An 18,754-nucleotide genomic window follows, 5' to 3' on the forward strand; every position below is an offset into this window, starting at 1 on the left:
AACAGTTTCCACCACTACCAAATAAAACAACAACAACAATTAAGATCAACTCTGTATTCTTTGGAATCCCAAGAAACACAATCCATAGGAGACATTCTCATCACAAAACAGTTTCAAATTTAATAATTAAGAATTGTAACATTTCTGTCACATCTCTACTCATTTCCCTGACATAATACTTTGTGTAAATAATTTCTCAAGTAGAGTAAAACGTCTTTTATTGACTGGATATATTCATTCAACATCACTGACCTTTTTCCAACTTGTTTGACTGTCTTGTACTCTCTCTTCAATAACCTTTCCAATTCCCCCTAGTAGCTGTTCCATCATCTTACTAAGCTCCTCCACCTGCTCCTCCCTGGTCCTCTTTCTGAGATGTGATCTTGAATTCCATTTAATACTTCCCAGAGAAAACACAGGGCATAAAACAAAAACTCCCTCAGGCTCTCCTTCCACCTACCTAATCTCCACATTATCTGCATTCTCCCTCCTTTTCCTCCCCCTATCCCAGAGGGTGTCATGTCCACAAGTTTCCCAGCTCTGTATCAGAATATTTCCTTAGGGACATGCTTCCTACTCTTAAAAGTGCTTGGTGTTCTTCACTAGCTACTGTGTTTTTCTCCTCTCCTTCTCCTCTTTCCTCCTCTTCTTCTCCTCCTCCTTCGTTCTTAAGCAAAATTTTGAAAGAAGTAGTTTGCACAACTTTTCTCTGCTTTTATTACCCCTGAAATATAACTTACCCCCAGACACTCCCTTAAACCACTCTCTGAAGTATTATCAGTAACTACTAATTCCCAAATCCATCAAATATATTTTCACTTTGAAACTTAAGGTATTTGGATCAAGTCAGTTAAGTTGTTTCTCCTTCTGACTCCTGTAACAACTTGTATATATCTATATTAATATGCTCCATACTATACTGTAATTATTTGTTTCTGTGGCTGTTCTCCAGACTAGTTTATGAGTATCTCCAAGGCAGGACTCTTATTACATTCATCTGGGCATCCCCTATGAATAAATAACTCAGTGTGTTCCACCTGTTCCAATATAATTCACTAACCATGACATTTTTCAGTAACTCAGAAATTGGGCTATTTTATGATTAAAATGCTTCTTTGGCAATTGGATCTGATTTCAGATAATACTAATATTCTTTACTTGAGCACAAAATGAAGTTTAAAGACATACAATTAGTTGAATATTTTGAAGAAAGTAATAATTATGGCAGCAAAACCTAAAATGTGGATGATCTTTTATTTTTGGCAAAGCATTCTCAAAACCATTTCATCTGTCACAAAGTAAAGCTGGAGCCCGTATCAAAGCAGGGCCAGAGATAGGCAGTTTGAACAGGGCTCAACAATGCCCCGCAGAGATGGTGAATAGAGCTGAATTCATCTATGCTCCACACACCAAGTGTGTACCCAGTGGGAAGAGTGACTTTTGCTTTGAACAGAGGCTCTGTCCATTCACCAAGTACTGTAGTTTGCATTTCTACTTCATCTGTTCAAAGTGTGACACCTTTCCTAATATATCGTCCAGAGAGGCACTTTTTAGTGAAAGGATCCTATAGGCCACAGTGACCTTGGAAACAGAGTTCACCACAAATTCCTTTTAAATTTCTCATTCTGAGAAAATACAGAAAGAGCTGCTGACACAGTCTAAGTATAGGTCATTGTTCTAACATTAAAAGGAAGAGTTTCTCAAGGAAAGGCTATTCACATTCAGTAAGCATCCTACATACTTAGCCAGGCTGCTAAATAACAGGGTAAATCTGCTTATTTTCTCTGGTCTACTGCTAATCTAATTTTCAAAAAGATCCATAAACAAGAGTGCTAAGTCATCTGCCACAAGAACAATATGGTGGATTAAAAATATATTGGGCTCTAAAATCAGGCCAGGCCTGGTTTTGAGTGGGTCAGCTTCCCTAGCAATAGATATATGAACTTTCAGCAAGTTATCTAATCTCTGTGAACATTACCTTCCTCATCTGCAAACAGGGATTTGGATAAGAAATTCTCAGAAAGTTATATTGCCATTAAAGGATGTAACTTATGTGAAAACATATGGCATGCAGAGGAGTGCTCAACAGTGTTGATCTCTTCCATGAAGTATATGATAGTTATACAAGAGATTTTGGCATGTCATTGTCAACATTCTAATAAATTCTTCTTTTATTTTTTTGAGACAGGGTCTTTCTGTCTTGCCCAGGCTGGAGTGCAGTGGCATGATCATGGCTTATCGTAGCCTCAACCTTCTGAATTCAAGAGACACTCCCACCTTAGCCTCCCTGAGTAACTGGGACCACAGGCATGAACCACCATGCCCAGCTACCTTTAAAAAAATAGAGAGAGAGACAGGGTCTCACTATGTTGTTCAGGCTGGTCTCTAATAAATTGTTATTACCAATGTGCTATGAGATTTTCTTTAATAGCCTACTTCTTAACATGAAGTGGGTAAATATCTGCTGTAATAGTTTTCAAAAGTGGTAAAAACTCAAAGAGCTTTCAGAAGGTCACACAAAACATTAACACTCCAGAAGCTGAATTAGAAACCTGGAGTGCTTTTTTTAAATTATTTTTTTTTAGTTTATTTATGTTTCCAGCCAATAGCCTGATTATGTAGACTCTAGATTATCTATCCTTGAAATCATATATGGAGAGATATATATGTATAAATTTTACACAACATAATCCCTAGTTGTAATATATTGTCTTGGGTATGTTTATAGGCTGGTACTTCTCAAACAACTGGAAACGTCACCTAATAGTCCATCAAGTTATAAGCAGTTGCAGCAGTTATGGCTTGGAGACATTTTTGAGCTATTGCAAAAATGTGGATAATGCTATAGCTAGACAGAGTATTAATGAGCATTAACGTTTGTGGGATATGATTGAAAGAGGAGAGAAAAGGATGAGGGATTTTTTTAAAAAGGAACATTCGACCTATGGCAATAAAAAACTGGTTGTTTAGTTTTTTTGGGTTCTTCTTTGCATCTCAGAATTTGAAACTATTTTCAATTTTCCTTTACTTGCCTATTTTTCTCTGAACCCAAATACCTCAACATTAGTGTAAGTAACTCAGTAATAGTCAACTAAAAGGAAGAAGCAAAAAGGAGTGGAAAGTGAAGAATTTAAAAGAAGCTAAAACATCATACATTGTTAGTAAATAATTTTCATATGATGAGGAATAATTTCTTATTTTTTTCCTTTTGTAAGATTTCTAAGACCTCCCTGGCTTATGCCACTCAGTCCTTTGAAGATGTAACCTCACAGCGATTTAAAGTGCACAAACTATTTTACTACAGCAGAAAGGCTGCTAGGACTAAAGACTATTTTTCATTTCCATAAGTTGTAAGCACATTGATATTACTAATAACAACTTTGCTCCTCTATCATAGCATACTTAATCGAATTATTTTTAAAAACACTAAAACATAAACATTTGTAATTTCATTTTTAAATTCCAAGGTATTACTAGAAAAAATTAAGGGGCATACAGCTGATGGCAACAAAAGACAGTAAAATAGAAAGCCAAGAGAAAAGTTTTATGTTTAATAGGATCGATATCTCATATAATGGAAAATCTTTGCTACACTATATCTAAACCTGAATTTCTGCCTTAAACAATGGCTGACTTTAACATTGAGCCCTAGGGATTTGTGAACGAGATGAGTTTGTATAATTATGAGCTCCATCTAAACTTTATTGGTCCTAAGTGTTTACAAGTAAATTGTATTTGGCCCCAACAGGAATTCAGAATTAAGCTGGCAGTCTGGTATTTATATTTTAGAATTTCTGGGTTGTTCTGTAACCCAGAGGAAGAGATGTTAAAGAAGCAAGGTCAGCTATTACCTGCAATTTCACTGGAAGACAAGCAGACACTGCAATAATTTTAAGTTAACTAAAAGGAGCAAAGCTCCATTATCTTACATGAGACTTGATACGTCATTTCCTTCAACGTATACATAGTCATCAAACTCAATATTGCTCCCACCCCCTAAAATTCTAATAAAATATAATGTATTGGTCAGAACACATACTCTGGAAAATGCACTTCTGGATTGAGTTTCTGTAATTTCAATGTATGAAGAGGAGAAAACCTTAAAAGATGAAACTCTATGAGGCTAGATAGGAAGGATTATCTTTTCATTAGAAGGCAGGCCATTCTGACTTTCTCTGAATACGTATTCATTATATTAGTAGATTTAAACACATATACATGCAAATTATGAACACATATATGAATATATTATCAATATACTGATTTATATCTTGCTTCATTCCATAAAGGATTTAGATCAAAACAGAATAAAACAGTATGAGTTAGTTTATGAATTGAATGCTTGGTCTATAGAGGAACAATCAAACAAATAACTTTCTAGACTAAACCTTTTAGAAATTGATACCTGGAAAAGGACAGTCTAATGAAAGAATTTAGGGTCCTAGAAGAAGGAAAAAGATGCCTCCATGTTGAGTGAAAGTGCCACAGTCACCTCATTTTGCCTCTTCACTGGAGTTACCTCTCAGCATCACAAAGACAGTTTAAAACATTTAGATGTCCTACCTTTAAAAATTAAACCCTAAGCACCAAATAAGCAAATCATTAATCACCTTCCACAATCATTAATCCCAAATCTTCCTCTGGTGTCCTCAGAGGGGCCCTCCATGGCAGCATTCCACAGCCTCTCCTAGCCAGGGCCTTTAGCTTCTATCTTCCACTGTCCTTTTAGCCATGTGAATCCATCATTAAAAGGATGCAAAGGTATTTAAATAAAATGCCCTCCTAAATTGTTTAGCTATGAAATTCAATTGCATTCAACATAGCCTTGATGTTTCTGGCATGAAATTATAGTATTTTTACAAATAAGATTATAAAAAGTTGTTATATATCTTTTAAGTCAGGCAAAAAGCTGAACATGTTAGTCACACTGTGTTAGGTCATTCATGTTAGACCCTGGCATGTGATTCCAGGTCATAATGCTTCTAAAGGTCCTCTTAACTGCTGCTACATGAAATTTAAATTCCTAGAAAGCTGACTTGCATTTCCCTTCTTTCAACCATGCCATACTTGTTCCTGAATGCCAGGCTATCTCTCCATTCTAACAACTAGCCAGAAGGAAAAATAAGAAGAGCTATATAGTACTTATCTATCCAGTGAGGCAAACCCTTATCTTTGTTTGGCTTGGCAGTAAAAAGACTGAAAAGTGTAATGGAAAGAAGCCTTCGCAATAAAATCCTCCAGCTAATATTTCTAATGTAGCTTCAAAGAAGAAACACACATTCTTCATACCACTCTTTTAGCACGGAAGGGGTAGTGTTCTATTAAACCAAGTAATAGGACCACTTATTAACTTTAACTCATAACTGATAAAGAGTGAATTTGTAATACTATTGCTCAATAATCAACACACCAGCCCTAGGGCAGGTGGATGAGAGTACAAGTAGGAACTCTGTGCACAGGCTTCTATTTCAATTACTACTTCTGGTAAAATTTGAAGACTACCCTAGACCTCCTGTGTCTCAGCTTTTTCTCATTCTTGCTTCTCAAAAAGCAGGACAGAAAGAGGACCAGCACATGCCAAGTCCCGCCTCTCCAAAGGGTACAGAGCCTTTCTAGAGATGAGCTAGGGCTCGTGAAACCAAAGCACATATGTCTTTTACAATGTTTATTATTCCTTAGCACTGGCCTGTTGCCAACTTCTGATCGGTCCCTTCACGAAGAAAAGGCTCTAAATGTGAGAATGAGGATAGGGGGAGTCTTTGGAGATGAAAAGAGCAATTTGGCGAGACCTTTATTCTAAGCACGATAATTCACGAGCCTGAAATCTCACCCTATAGGGGCTCTTACAGTAGGACAAAGGGAAAGAGGGTTTTCTGTCAACAAACCCCTACAATCTCTTACTGCAGTACTGGAAGGGGAGGCTATAAATAAGAGGAAAACAACAACCATTGAGAAAGTCAAGAACCAAGCACAAAATTAATTAGGTCACCTGGAAAAAAACCACCACCTTCTTCCTTTGAGTCCAACATCATATTAATGAATCCCTGCAAGGGGCCCAGGAAGAGTAGGAGTTATACAGAGCATTAACATTCTACATTGGCTTAGTTTGGCCACAACAACAACAACAGATTGGTACGACATGCAGTGAAGCAGATGAAGGGTTACCTAACTCCAGGCACAAAAGAAAACCAACAGGACTCTCAACTTCTCCATACAGCTTTCAAACATATGTATTACAGATCTAGAGGAGCATGAATAAGCAAATTTGCATTCTTTCCAAAACTTCAGAGTTGAATAGCTTATTTCTTTCCAGTCAAAAGTATAGGTGAGGCTAATGCAATAAAAATAAAAAGTGCTTATAATTGCAGGCATTCAAAGAGTACATGGATCCTATGTATTACAACATAAACAAATGGGCTTAAACAGCAGAACTTAGGTAGAACAAAAACTGTTGCTTTGTAGCAAGGTACACTTGATAGAAAGGAGACTGGTAATTTCCCCTCCCAAGCAAATCTTAAGAGGTATAAAATGAACTCTGAAGAAAAGCCTAAGGCATAGAAGAAAAATAATTGACAAATGCCTACTACGTGCCAGGAACTGTTTCCAGGATCTTTTAATCTCAAGATTAAAGACTATTGATGTAAATTTGTCTGTAAGAATAATGAGGACCTTATTGCTGATGCCTGACCCTCACCAACAGAACAAGCAAGGCAATGGCACCAAGGCTCCCCCTGACTAGGAAACTCTGGTGATGCAGTTGGAAGTGGGCCACCGAGGTTTGCAGGCATGTCACCCAAGCATTCTAGAGACTGGGGATAGTAGCTCTGGTCAGCAAAAAAGGTAGATACGCCACAGCATCGACTCTGGATGGATCTGGTGTTGTTAGAAAATAAGCACCTGCCTAGAGTGGGAGAGGATGCCTCCCATCCTTCTCTGCAATGGATTTTTTAGCTGAAAGCCGAAAACTCTGTAACAAACCAGCAGGTGATTTTGGTGGTACCTTAAGCTCTCAGGGAGCTTTCATTTGAGACATTGTCATAAAAGCAGCTGGAAAGCCCTCCGAAACCTATATTTAGGTATCTATTATTCATCCAGAGTCCAGCCAGAACATTTACCTGAAAGATATACTTTCAAAATCAGACAAACTGCATTTCCAAAACAACCCATGTTAGCAGACACTAAGCCTTAACATGTGCCTTTATTATGCATTCACAAAGTTTCTGCTATGAAAGTCAGAATCCAGCTGACCCTAAAGGTATGGCAAAAACAAGCAATTTTAAAATAATGACCTTTTGCTCTTATAAATACCCTCAGCAATGAGTTCCTACACACATTTAGTCATAAACTCCAGCAAGAAATGGCACATGATATCACATGTCCAGGGACCTGAATGCATTGCATTGAACCTTAATAGATGACCAAATATCAAGGCACTAAGCAAGTTCTATGAGAGCCTGAGCACTTCCTGATTCATATGTTAGAATTCTACTAGAATTCTACTGGTTCATTCTGGTAGAAATATTTCTTGAATAGCTAAAATATCCTTAACTGTGAGGCACCAACACATTTTAGCATTATTTTAAAATTGAGTCAACATTCTAAGTTTCCCTTAACCTTCTTTTAGAAATTCAGACAAATTGATATATCAGAAATTCATGTGTGCCCTTCCCCAGGGAATTTTCAAATAAAAATAGCAAAACAACAAAAAACAAACCCTAAGCCTCATCTTTAAAAAAATTTATTAAATTGTTGCCATTCTCAAAGTTTTTTTCTTCCTCCATGAAATATTAGCAATTTAAATGTTCTCAAGTCCTCATGCTTGACTTATTTGGGGATGCTTCATATTAACAAAGTATTTTTATTGCATAACCATTACTTTCTCAGACAATATTCGGTTTTGCACAGTTTACTTTTCATTCTCACTTGATACCAATACTCTAGTTCAAGACAAATCCTCATCTGGTACCTGTCACGGAATTTGATAATTCTGAGTTTTACAAACTGAAGGGAATATTGATTACTCACCATATCCAGGAATGCCTTCTAAAGGGAAAATTATTCACGTGCATCATGTTCGCAGATCTTCTGTCATTAATATTTTTCTTGTCTCCTACGTTACATGTAGTGATTTTTACAGATGAATTCCAACTCTCTTGTTTGAGCAGCTATCGTGGGCAATTATTGCAACAAGTATTGAATCCCAAAAAAAAAAAAAAAATCTCCCCCCACCAATAAAAACAAATAGCAATTACAAAAGGCCTTCCAGGATTTGAAAAAAGAAACATCACAGAGCACTGCAGGTATGGGTCCATCCATTTAGGTTCCACTAGTTAGTCAACATACTAAAATAACCAGTTCAACTAATAATCCTAAATGGTGGCAAATATTGTCCTGGTAAAATCTAACCGCCTTGAGTGTAAATTAATGCATCCTTAAGGAAGGACTCTGGAATGTGGGAAGAAAGGAGTCAAAAGACAGTTTCTTGATATCCTTGTTAAAGAAGTGTTAGAAGGGAAATGGAAAACTTCAGGTTGCTTTGCCATGCTGTCCTTTAGAAATGAATATTGCTTTTTCTTCTTTCTTAGGCACATATTCATGTATGGTCACTTTAACGCAGTGCTACCGTCTGAGACGTGTCGGACAAAGGCCTGGGCAGAGGGGCTAGAAACCATGTATCACCAAAGCCAACTTCTTTCCCAGATTTCAGAATTGCTGGTTCAACTGCAAAAGTAGGAAGGCAATGAGTAATTTCTGCTCTGCAGGACAAGATTACCATTAACTACCATCATGACTTCAGAAGATGCTGTCACGATGAAATTCATTTCTGCTGCCTAACCCCATAATAAGGCTGGCTGTTCTCTTTAAGTAAAATGACTAAGCTATTGATCTTTTCACTGCAGAATCCCCTTTATTTTGTTATTATCAAAACCATGTGGGAGCTTTTCATATTTTGCCTTGGAAAGAAAATGAATTTCACAGCTGCAAGTCAGACGTTGTCTAAGAATTCTTCCCCCGATGTCTTTCTTTTCTTTTTTTTCCTCTCTCAATCTCTTTTGTTTTTCACCCCAAATTCAGTTTTCCAATAGGTGTCATTTATTCTGATGCTCTGACATCTTCTGAAAGATTCTCATGCCCAAGCTATACAGACCTTGCATGCTTTTAAAACACAATGGCAACAGGCTCCTGCTGGAGTCCCCCAGCGCCGAATTTCCAGCAGAACCTTTGGAATCCTCGCAGCCGCCTTGTCTGCCCTGGGCTGTGCCGCCCCAGCTCTGATCAGCTCAGGACACTTGCAGGCTCCGTGGTACTGTACATTAACTCTGCAGCAGCCTGGCTCAGCTGCAGAGACTGCTGCCTGACAGGGGATGTGCTGGCGTCAAGGGGGCCCTCTAGGTGGGTTCCCAGACATTGCAGAGCCGCGCACTCCTTGCTAACCTCCAAGTAAGAGCAAGCAAAAGGGGTTAAAGGAATAGCTCGCCCTGGAAGAGCAGACTTCTTTCAGTAATTACCAGGCAAGAAAAGCTAAACAAGGAGAAGCCTGTAAAACACCTCACAGGGAAATTACGCCTTAAACAAATACGGAGGGAGGATTTTTTGTTTGCTCGTTTTCCTTCTTACCCAGTGAAAAAAAAAGAAATAAAAGAAGTCCAGAGATAATTTGCAAATGATAGAGTTTGGTGGATTTCACTCCTTAAAAAAAAAGCACCGGGGTGGGGAAGCCTTGTTTACTTGATGATTTGTAACCATTTAGCTGCAGATGACCACATGGTGATTTTTGGACAGGAAATCCTATGGAAGCCGGTTCTGCAGAAGTCAGTTGTACTTCAATTGCAATTGCGCATGCCATAAAACTGCTTGTTTGATTAGGGGGTGTGTAGATATGAGGAATGCTGAGATAAAACGTTGCAATCCCTATCACTGATGTTTTGCATTTCTTCATGCTTGCTCCTTTGTTGCAAAAATTCTGTTCAATAATCCCCCAAAAGCACCCCATCACTGTTGATGCCATTTTGGAGCAAGAATAAAATAGTAAACTCTTGTAATAGTAGGTTGGCACTTAAATGGTATTTGTTTGAAATCAGTGGGAGAATGGACTTTGCAGTAGAAGTACACTCAACATTAATATACCACTTTTAACTTAGGTATTTAAAAAGGCTTTTACGCAATTGCTTGATATTAAATGGAATACCGGCAACATTTAATATAACATGCTATTATCTTCATTTAGGATTTCCCCAGTGAGGTCCTGTCATTGCAGAAAATATTACCCAAGATTGGGTGGAGGGCATGTCCCATAAATTCAAAACCTAGTATAAAGAAAACTAATCTTAAAAACCACCATAATTTGGAGAATTTTCATTTTGATCAAAAGATGATCCTAAAAGGAGGATTCCTAGGAGGAAGAAGAACTGGGTGATTCCTTAAAAGCAATGTGAACTTGTAGGTTCAGAAAGATGCCACTACAGCATAAAAGAATCTTGAGAATATTTGTTGAGATTTCCTGTAGCCTAGGCAGTGTCCTCATGACCCCTTTTTGCTAAAGGGACTAAATCTCTTCCATAAGGTCATTTGTAATCTGGCCCAGAAAACTTCAGCCTACATTGTTTTTAACAAGCTTTGAATGTTTTGAATCAAGTAATTAAAATTTTGATATTATATTAGACATTTAAATATTATTATTTAAGAGCTAGGAACATCTACAATGCCCCAGGTCCCATTCTAAGATAGTTACAGTATTACCCCATTTAATCCACACAACAGCACTATGAGTTAAGGACTGTTACTAGCCCTGTTCTCCAGATGAGGCTATTGAGGCACTCAGATGTTAAGTAGCATGTCTGAGGTTAAATATCTAGTGAGTCACTATCTGAATCAAGGAAGTCTGGCTCCAGAGCCTGTACACATTACCACAATATTCTAGCACCTCTGTAATCATAATAATACCACCTTGTTATACTTTTATACTTTCTAAAATATTATTGTTATATGTATTATTTTGGCATCACAGAATTATGCTGAGGAGATTAAGACATTTATTATGCCCATTTTGGAGATGCCAAAAAGATTGTATTTGTTCATTATCAGGCATCTTGTGAGCAGTAGATCTGGAAGAGAATTCAAATTATTTGACTCTGGTTAGTGATCTTTGATCATGATGATGATAATGATGGGTTTTAATTATTTTAAAACTAACATTCAGTCCTTATACAAGAGAGTAGGTCTCCATAGAAAGTAGCAAATGCAAAGATTTTTTAAAAAGATGTAAAAATATATTTTCCTTTGTAATGAACATCATTTATCTGACATTATTTTCTTAGTCCATTTTATTCTACTCTGTTCATATGTCAAACCATCACCTATGGGTGATAGGATAGTAAGAATACCTCTGAATCTTTCTCCACTACCACACAGTTCAACATTCAATACTTGTTAGCTACATTTCCATTTGCGGGCAATGATATAAGCAAAGCACTTTATAAATAAAATACAAATGATTTGGCCATTAAACTACTAAATATACTTAAACTAAGAGGACATTTTAGCTGAATATTTTTAAAGTGAATTTTCGTTGGATTTTTATTTTTATACATGCAACTGTCTAGAATAAAGTCTAACAAATTAGAACAAAAGGAAACACAACTGAGAAACTATGATAAATAACAGAAAAGCCAAATTTCTGCTTGAAAGATAGCAAAGAAAAAACTGTAATTTATTTCACAGTTCAGAGAATCAAGACTACACATTATTAAACAATCCAAAATTGAATATTTTTGCAGACATAAGGCAACAAATATAAAAGAATAGGCTTGCTTAGAAAATAGAAATAACTCATTTCCAGCATTTTATTCCATTTATATTAGAAAGAGGGTCTTAAGAGTTATGTCTACTAATTTATAGGCTGATACTTTACAAATTTAATACTTCCTACATGTATGGCCTTCAAGAAACAACAGTTAGGCAGAACTAATAGGTTTGTAATCTAAAAACAAGTTGTCAAAAATGAAAAAATGTTGTTGGGTTAGGGTAATGCTAATCTATTTTGTTACACTAAAAGATAATCATCCTTTCATGAAACTTTTAAGAAATATCAGGAAGCCAGTTCTGGTTGCTCATGCCTGTAGTCCTAGCTACTTGGAAGGCTGATGCAGGAGGATAACTTGAGCCCATTTCAAGACCAGGCTGGGAAACATAGACTCTGTCTCTAAAAAAATTAAAAAGAAATATCAGGAGTAACCATAAAAGATTATCTTTATGGCTAATCTCAGCCCCATTATTTTTATCAATACAGGAGTGCGAATTATTAGCAGGGCACCACAAATTGGCATAACCTCAGTGAAGTCCCTGCAGCTATGGCATAACCTCAGCTCTACTAGAGCAAAGACTGGTTTGTTGTTTTGTTTTGTGTTTTTTTTTAAATTTTAATCCCACAGCAAGCACAAGAGTAAGTGAACTTATATTAACTACCCTTAAATGAGGCTGATTCAATAAAAAGCTCAATTAATTGATAAACTACAAACTCAGAGCAAACCAAAATACTTTCAACATTTTCATTGAAAGATCGCTTAATGCATCCAGAATCAGAGCCAGAAGTATTAACTAGCCGGTGTCCCACGTCCTTTTCCAATAAAACCCTTTTCTCTCATGGTTATAGGGTTATGCTCATAAGAGTGAAGGTTTTCAAACTAAGTTTCTGGGAACCCTATGGTTTTTCAAAGTTGCATCAGGTCAGCTGAGGGGCAAGGTACTTTGTGCTGGGTCTAGGAAGCCAGGTACTTTGTGCTGTTTCAACAAGAGCTCTTCTGCTTTAACTAGTTTTATCTCAAAGTTTGATAATACATACAAAAAAAGTCTGGCTCTTTAAAAAAAATTACAAAAATGTAACAGTAGAAATACAGAATTAATACTTTCTACACAAATTCTTATCTCTGTAATATCAGTTTCAGTATTTCATCCTCTTAAAATGCCTTCAACTTACACACTTCCTTCACAATGAGCATAAAAGAATGATTAAGTTCAACCTTTATGCTAGTATAAGCATAGTATAATAAAGTCACACCCTAGTTCCTGAGGTTGGGTATTTCCTAGACTCTTTAGTCACTTGTACTTATCAGAGGGTGTGATGAGTTACTTCATTGATTTTCCCTGAGTTTCACTTTCAGAAAGTAACTTTAATGTCAAATGTTAAGGTATATTTTTTTGTCATCATTGCATTTTGGTATAATCAATAGCTAATGTCAATGTTTGCCTCTTAAATAACTTGATGAAATAAAACTCCTGTATATTTAGACATCAAAGAATAAAGACCTAAAAGATGACTTATTTATCTTATATGAATACCAATAATCAGTTCAGATATTTTTGGAAAGTCTCCATTCTTTCAAGAGGCTGGATTACTTTTGTCCCTTAGATGTCAAAAACAAAACACTTGGTCCCTGTATTCTACATATTGGGTTCATATAAATATATTTACACATACAAAAACTTCTATGTACTTTTCTTAGCACATTCTATATACTATTAATAACAGTATAAATACATTATACACAAGGATATAGAAGCTACTGTCACCTGGATATCTTGCAGGATGTGACTTTTTGCCTCAAGCTCCCCCCATAAATATATATTTTTTACCAATAAAAAATAAAATTTACATGAGTTTTCACATGTGTGTATGTATGTGTAATTATACATTTTTTTCTTTTTATTGCATATATCATCAACTAATAAAGAGGTGAGTGTGCCATCAGAATGAGACCTGAGGTGGCTGTGCTTCCAACCCCACCTCCCAGCAAGAAAAGAACATTCAAGACCAAATTCTCTATCTCACCTTTACAGAAAGCCAATCCCCCAGGAACAGAACAGTGTCTTCTTCTCTATATTTATAACACCAAAAACATTGTTGGTACTCAGTCAATGTTAACTAATAACGATGTTGATAGTCATGACTTTCCACTCCTGGCAAGTTCTAGCAAAGTCTGAAGGCATGCTGTTCTGAACATTTATAACTGAAATACGAGAAGCCTTTCATGAAGCCGCAGTTTCAGTTGCTGAGAGTCAGGGAAATGCATCATGTTTCAGCAAGTTGCTAGTAGCTACTACATTCAATTTCTACATATTCTCATAACCCAGGGTACAATCACCAATTAGAAAAGAAAAAATAAATTCATTAAACACCTAGTTTCATCACCTAAAACCAGCAAATGCTTTGTTGGGACTTTTCATGATTCAACTAATATAAAAAGCCATTTTGGATCATACTCCTCAAGGTTAAATCTTCTAATCTTAAATGATAAATTCTTTTACAGAAGAAAAATCTCATAATATGAAATATATTTCATAATTGGAATATTTAGAATGCTTGTTAAATTTTACTTTTAATTTTTTTTTTGGAAGTAGAAGACTTAAAAGCCTAATACTGAAATACAAAGAAGGCACTTAATATTTATACTTAAGAATCAAAAGTGGAAAAATGTTCACAGCAAGTTTAAAGACAAAAAAGTCAAATGTGTATACCATCTTGGAGTCCTAAGATGTGAACCCTTATTTTCAGGTTCTGCCTTTTACTTTTTGTGTAATTTTGACCAACGCATGAAACCTCTGTGAGACACAATTTCCTTATCCGTAGCATGGAAGTAATACAAACACTTAGATTATTATAATTTTAACTTATTATAATTTAAAATTTTTTAATAAGAAGAGCTCTTTAAATGTTGTTTGCATATACCTTTAAAATTTGCTTAGTAAAATATAATAAAATACAGATCATTTGTTTTGCAATTTACTGGAATCAAAATGGAAAAAAAAGAAAAAATACAAATAATGTAATGTCAAAACTACCTTCTGAAATGGAATTACATTTCATTTATATCTTAAGCTTTTCTAAAGGCTTTGTATAATATTTGTTTAGAAAATTCAAAGGAGCAAAAATATTTCTCATGTAATAAAATAAAGCCCAACTTCAAAACTTACTCATATTATCAGCTGGGCATGGTGGTTCGCACCTGTAATGGCTCTCAAAAAAAAAAAAAAAAGAGAAATGTTGTAAGAATGCACACTTATTCTTTCATTTATCCTGATTAGATGTATCCAAAATAGATTTGCTTTCACTGGAAATTTAATTGATTGTTACTGATTGATAATTTAATTAAACTTCTGATGACAGTTCTTCTATCACTCAACCTCCCAGTAAAAAAGTAACATAATCCAGCTTTCAGTTCCTCACATAAGGAGCTTGGAAGTTGCCAATCTGTCCTAACAACAAAAAAGCTGAACAAACTGAAAAATCAACTCTTCTTAGATCCATAAGAGAAGTGAGGTCACAGGGCAAACTGCTGCCCAAACCACTGGTGAGATAGACAGTAGGCTATGGAGAATCACAACATACCGGAGCAGAAACCTCCAAGAGAACCAGTGCTGGGGTAGAAAAACCTCAACTATAATTGACAAATCGTTAGAGGCTGAGTGCAGGCAAGTCTGAAAGTTGAAAAACTCCAGAGGAACCCAGTAATAGGGAGGTCCCCACAATTCTGTGTGTTTTACCTCCAGGAGTGCTACCAAGTTCTCACAGTAAATATTGGAGAAAAATTCTCTCATGCTTCCAGCAAGAGAAGGGAAAAAGTACACATCTTTAAATCTGCTGAAGCTTGGTTCTTCCTGAGGAGAAACTAGTTAATCAGAGCCTAACCTGCTGGGGTTTTTTGTTCCATTTTGTTTTGTTATATTAGAGCCTCACTGACCTGGGGAAAGAAAAATGCCCAACTCCAGCCCACTCTAGCCTACCATCAAGGAGAAAGGAAATACTCAATTCCAGCCCACGTTAGCCATTCTCTCTCACCTATGGTATAAGAAAAAAAAAACCTGAAAAACACTTAGGAGATTCACAATCCAGAGGCCCAGGCTCACCAAAAGTCTGAAACCTAATTATGGAATGATAGAAAGCTTCCCCTCCACTGCCCCTTACCACACCACCACCCACATAACTTTTTTATTTTATTTATTTATTTATTTATTTATTTATTTATTTATTTATTTATTTGGCAGAGTTTCGTTCTTGTAGCTCAGGCTGGAATGCAGTGGCACAATCTTGGCTCACTGCAACTTCCGCCTCCCGGGTTCAAGCAATTCTCCTGCCTCAGCCTCCCCAGTAGCTAGGATTAGAGGTATGTGTCACCATGACTGGCTAATTTTCGTGTTTTCAGTAGAGATGAGGTTTTACCACATTGGCCATGCTGGTCTCAACCTCCTGACCTCAGGTGATCCACCTGCTTCCACCTCCCAAAGTGCTGGGATTACCAGGCATGAGCCACCATGCCTGGCCCACCCATATAACTTAAGGCCTATTTACAGGAGTTCCTTTTATCCAGTACATGCCCAGCTATGAAGAAAAAATTACAATGCATAGTTAAAGGCAAAGAACACAGTTTAAAGAGACAGAAGAGGCATCAGAACTAGACATGCCAGAGATGTTGGAATTATCCGTATGATACAAAAATGGAAGATATACATCAATATAAATTTGTGCAAACCCATAGAATATACAATACTAAGAGTAAATTCTAATGTAAGCTATATGTTTTAGAGATAATGATGTATCAATGTAGGTTCAATTGTAAAAAAAAATGTACCACTTTTGTGGGGGGGATATTGATAATGGGGTGGCTATGCATGTGTGGGGGTTGGAGTAAATGGAATATCTCTGGACCTTTCTGTGAATTTTGCTGTGAACCTAAAAATGCTTTAAAAAATAAAGTTTTTACAAAGTTACATGACAAGCATTAACATTTTATACCCAGAATATGTACAATTTTTATACAATTTCAAATTTATGGATGCTAAAATTGCTATTTGTAATGTCAATAGATTCCATTTTCTTTACAATTGCTTGAAGCAAAGATGTAATTTTATCAAGAATGTTTAACACATATTTTGACAATCTATTTATAAAATCTGAAACTTATCACATAGTTTCATTTTAACTAGATTCAATATCATTTAAAGTTTCTTTTTAAAGAGGAAACATTATTTCATTTAGGAAACCATGCAAGTTCAACATGGGAAATACAAAAATAAAATAAAATAAACACACAAGAAAGAAGCAAGTCATCCATAATTCCATTCCCAAAAGACAAGTCAGTATACTTCTTTCCAGTCTTCCTCCCCTCCAGGAATAGTGGGTTTACCACCGATTTTTATGTTGTTGTAAGAATATTTCACCGACCTCTGAATTTGGTAAAAAGTACTGCCTGGAAAAGAACTCTTTTATTTGCCAGATGGCACATGGTAAAGAAATTACCATGAAAATACTCAAACCTCTCCACTCTCACAGGTTTACTGGGGAAGGCAGTTCAATCAGATGGGGCTTACAAAAGTTATTATTCTCTTTAAAACTCTTGTGATGAATTTTTACCAGTAGATGATCTCAAGAGGGTATTCCTCTGGATGTTTCTATTCTTAACTCTTTAGTTTTGATCCACCTTTAGGTCTGCTTGTATATTTCTTTTTAAAAATCTTAAGTAGTATATCGCTGCATATACTACTACAGTAGTAGGACATAGTAGATGTATTGTATGGTCCAGGTAAAACTAAGAAATTATTCTTCCTACTTTTAGAATGGAATACAATGTGTGGTCCACCATATATATTGTCAATCTAATTTAACGCTTCTTTAATATTCTGCCAGTACTGGTTTTTAGTGCTTTTTAAAAATTATATATATATATATTTTTGCAGTGTTTTCAGTCACTTTAATAGGAAGCTGGAAGAGGCTGCATCAGAGGCTGCAGGTAAAATGCCATTTAAAATCCAAAGGCCCCATCCACCACTTCTAACCCATGCACATATATAATTACACATCATTGGCAGTTAACAGAGTTAGGTATAAAAGCAAATATGACTATGTTATTTACAAATACATATATTTGTATATATTTATAACATATGTATATTACATATATATATACAGACACATATATGAAACATTAAAAATGAAAATATTTCATTTAGAAAACCATGCAAGTTCAACACGAGAAATACAAAAAAAAAAAGAAACACACAAGGAAGACACATATACATGTATTTTTATTTCGGCATCTTGAATTGACTACGCAGAGACATTGCCACTCCATTTTTAAGTTATTTTTGAAATAGATGACTAAAGATTATCATCAGCATGTAGTGGGGTACATGCTCTAGGGGTAGTGGGGTTTTCTGGTCTGTTTTGTCCTTGGTATATCCTCTAATGCCTAGAATAGTATCTGGTGCATAATAAGGACTCAGAGTCCTTATTATCTTGACATTGACTTTGTTAAGTATTTTATTATCATAAATATTTAATAAATGAGTCTCTATACCAAACATGATTACTTATGTCTGCCTATGTTTCCTTCTAAAGACCTTGCCTTTCCTACACTTCACCATTATAAAATCTGATGGGAATAAGCATGATAACTTGACTCACTGACATCTGATTCATTTACTAGGCAGCAAATATTAATATTTGCTCTTTGGAATGTGAAATGTCCTAAGTGAAATTGAGACTCTAATCAGTTCAAGGTGGGGTTGAACCAAAATGTCCTGTAGACTCAGGGGCTGAAGTTACCATTTTGGGTTCAGTGCAAACTGATAACTAAAGAGACAGTGGCAATTACAGGGAGAAGGCAGGAAAGAACAGAAACACAGAGACAAAAAGAAATCGGTGATTGTATGGCCCCAAAGAGAGTAGCTGCCTTAATTTCAGTTTTCCTAATCCAATAGG

The 18,754-nt window shown here is 36.0% G+C and overlaps 1 protein-coding gene across 26 annotated transcripts in view; it reads right to left on the reverse strand.

The window, feature by feature from the left end:
- PDE4D (phosphodiesterase 4D) overlaps window positions 1-18,754 on the reverse strand; it is a 1,553,091-nt gene that overhangs the window by 609,266 nt on the left and 925,071 nt on the right. For 2 of the 26 annotated variants that reach the window (NM_006203.5, NM_001349242.2), the window contains exon 1: window positions 8,026-8,201. The exons of 22 other annotated variants lie outside the window; for them this stretch is intronic. In NM_006203.5, the coding sequence (NP_006194.2) occupies window positions 8,026-8,072 (47 nt within the window). In that variant the 5' untranslated portion in view covers window positions 8,073-8,201. Of the gene's footprint in view, window positions 1-8,025; window positions 9,323-18,754 lie in introns of those variants that run through there. 2 more of the 26 variants (XM_047417296.1, NM_001364604.1) reach the window with 2 other exon arrangements.

This window comes from Homo sapiens, chromosome 5 (genome assembly GCF_000001405.40).
Source record: "Homo sapiens chromosome 5, GRCh38.p14 Primary Assembly".
In the NCBI taxonomy this organism is placed as follows: Eukaryota; Metazoa; Chordata; class Mammalia; order Primates; family Hominidae; genus Homo; species Homo sapiens.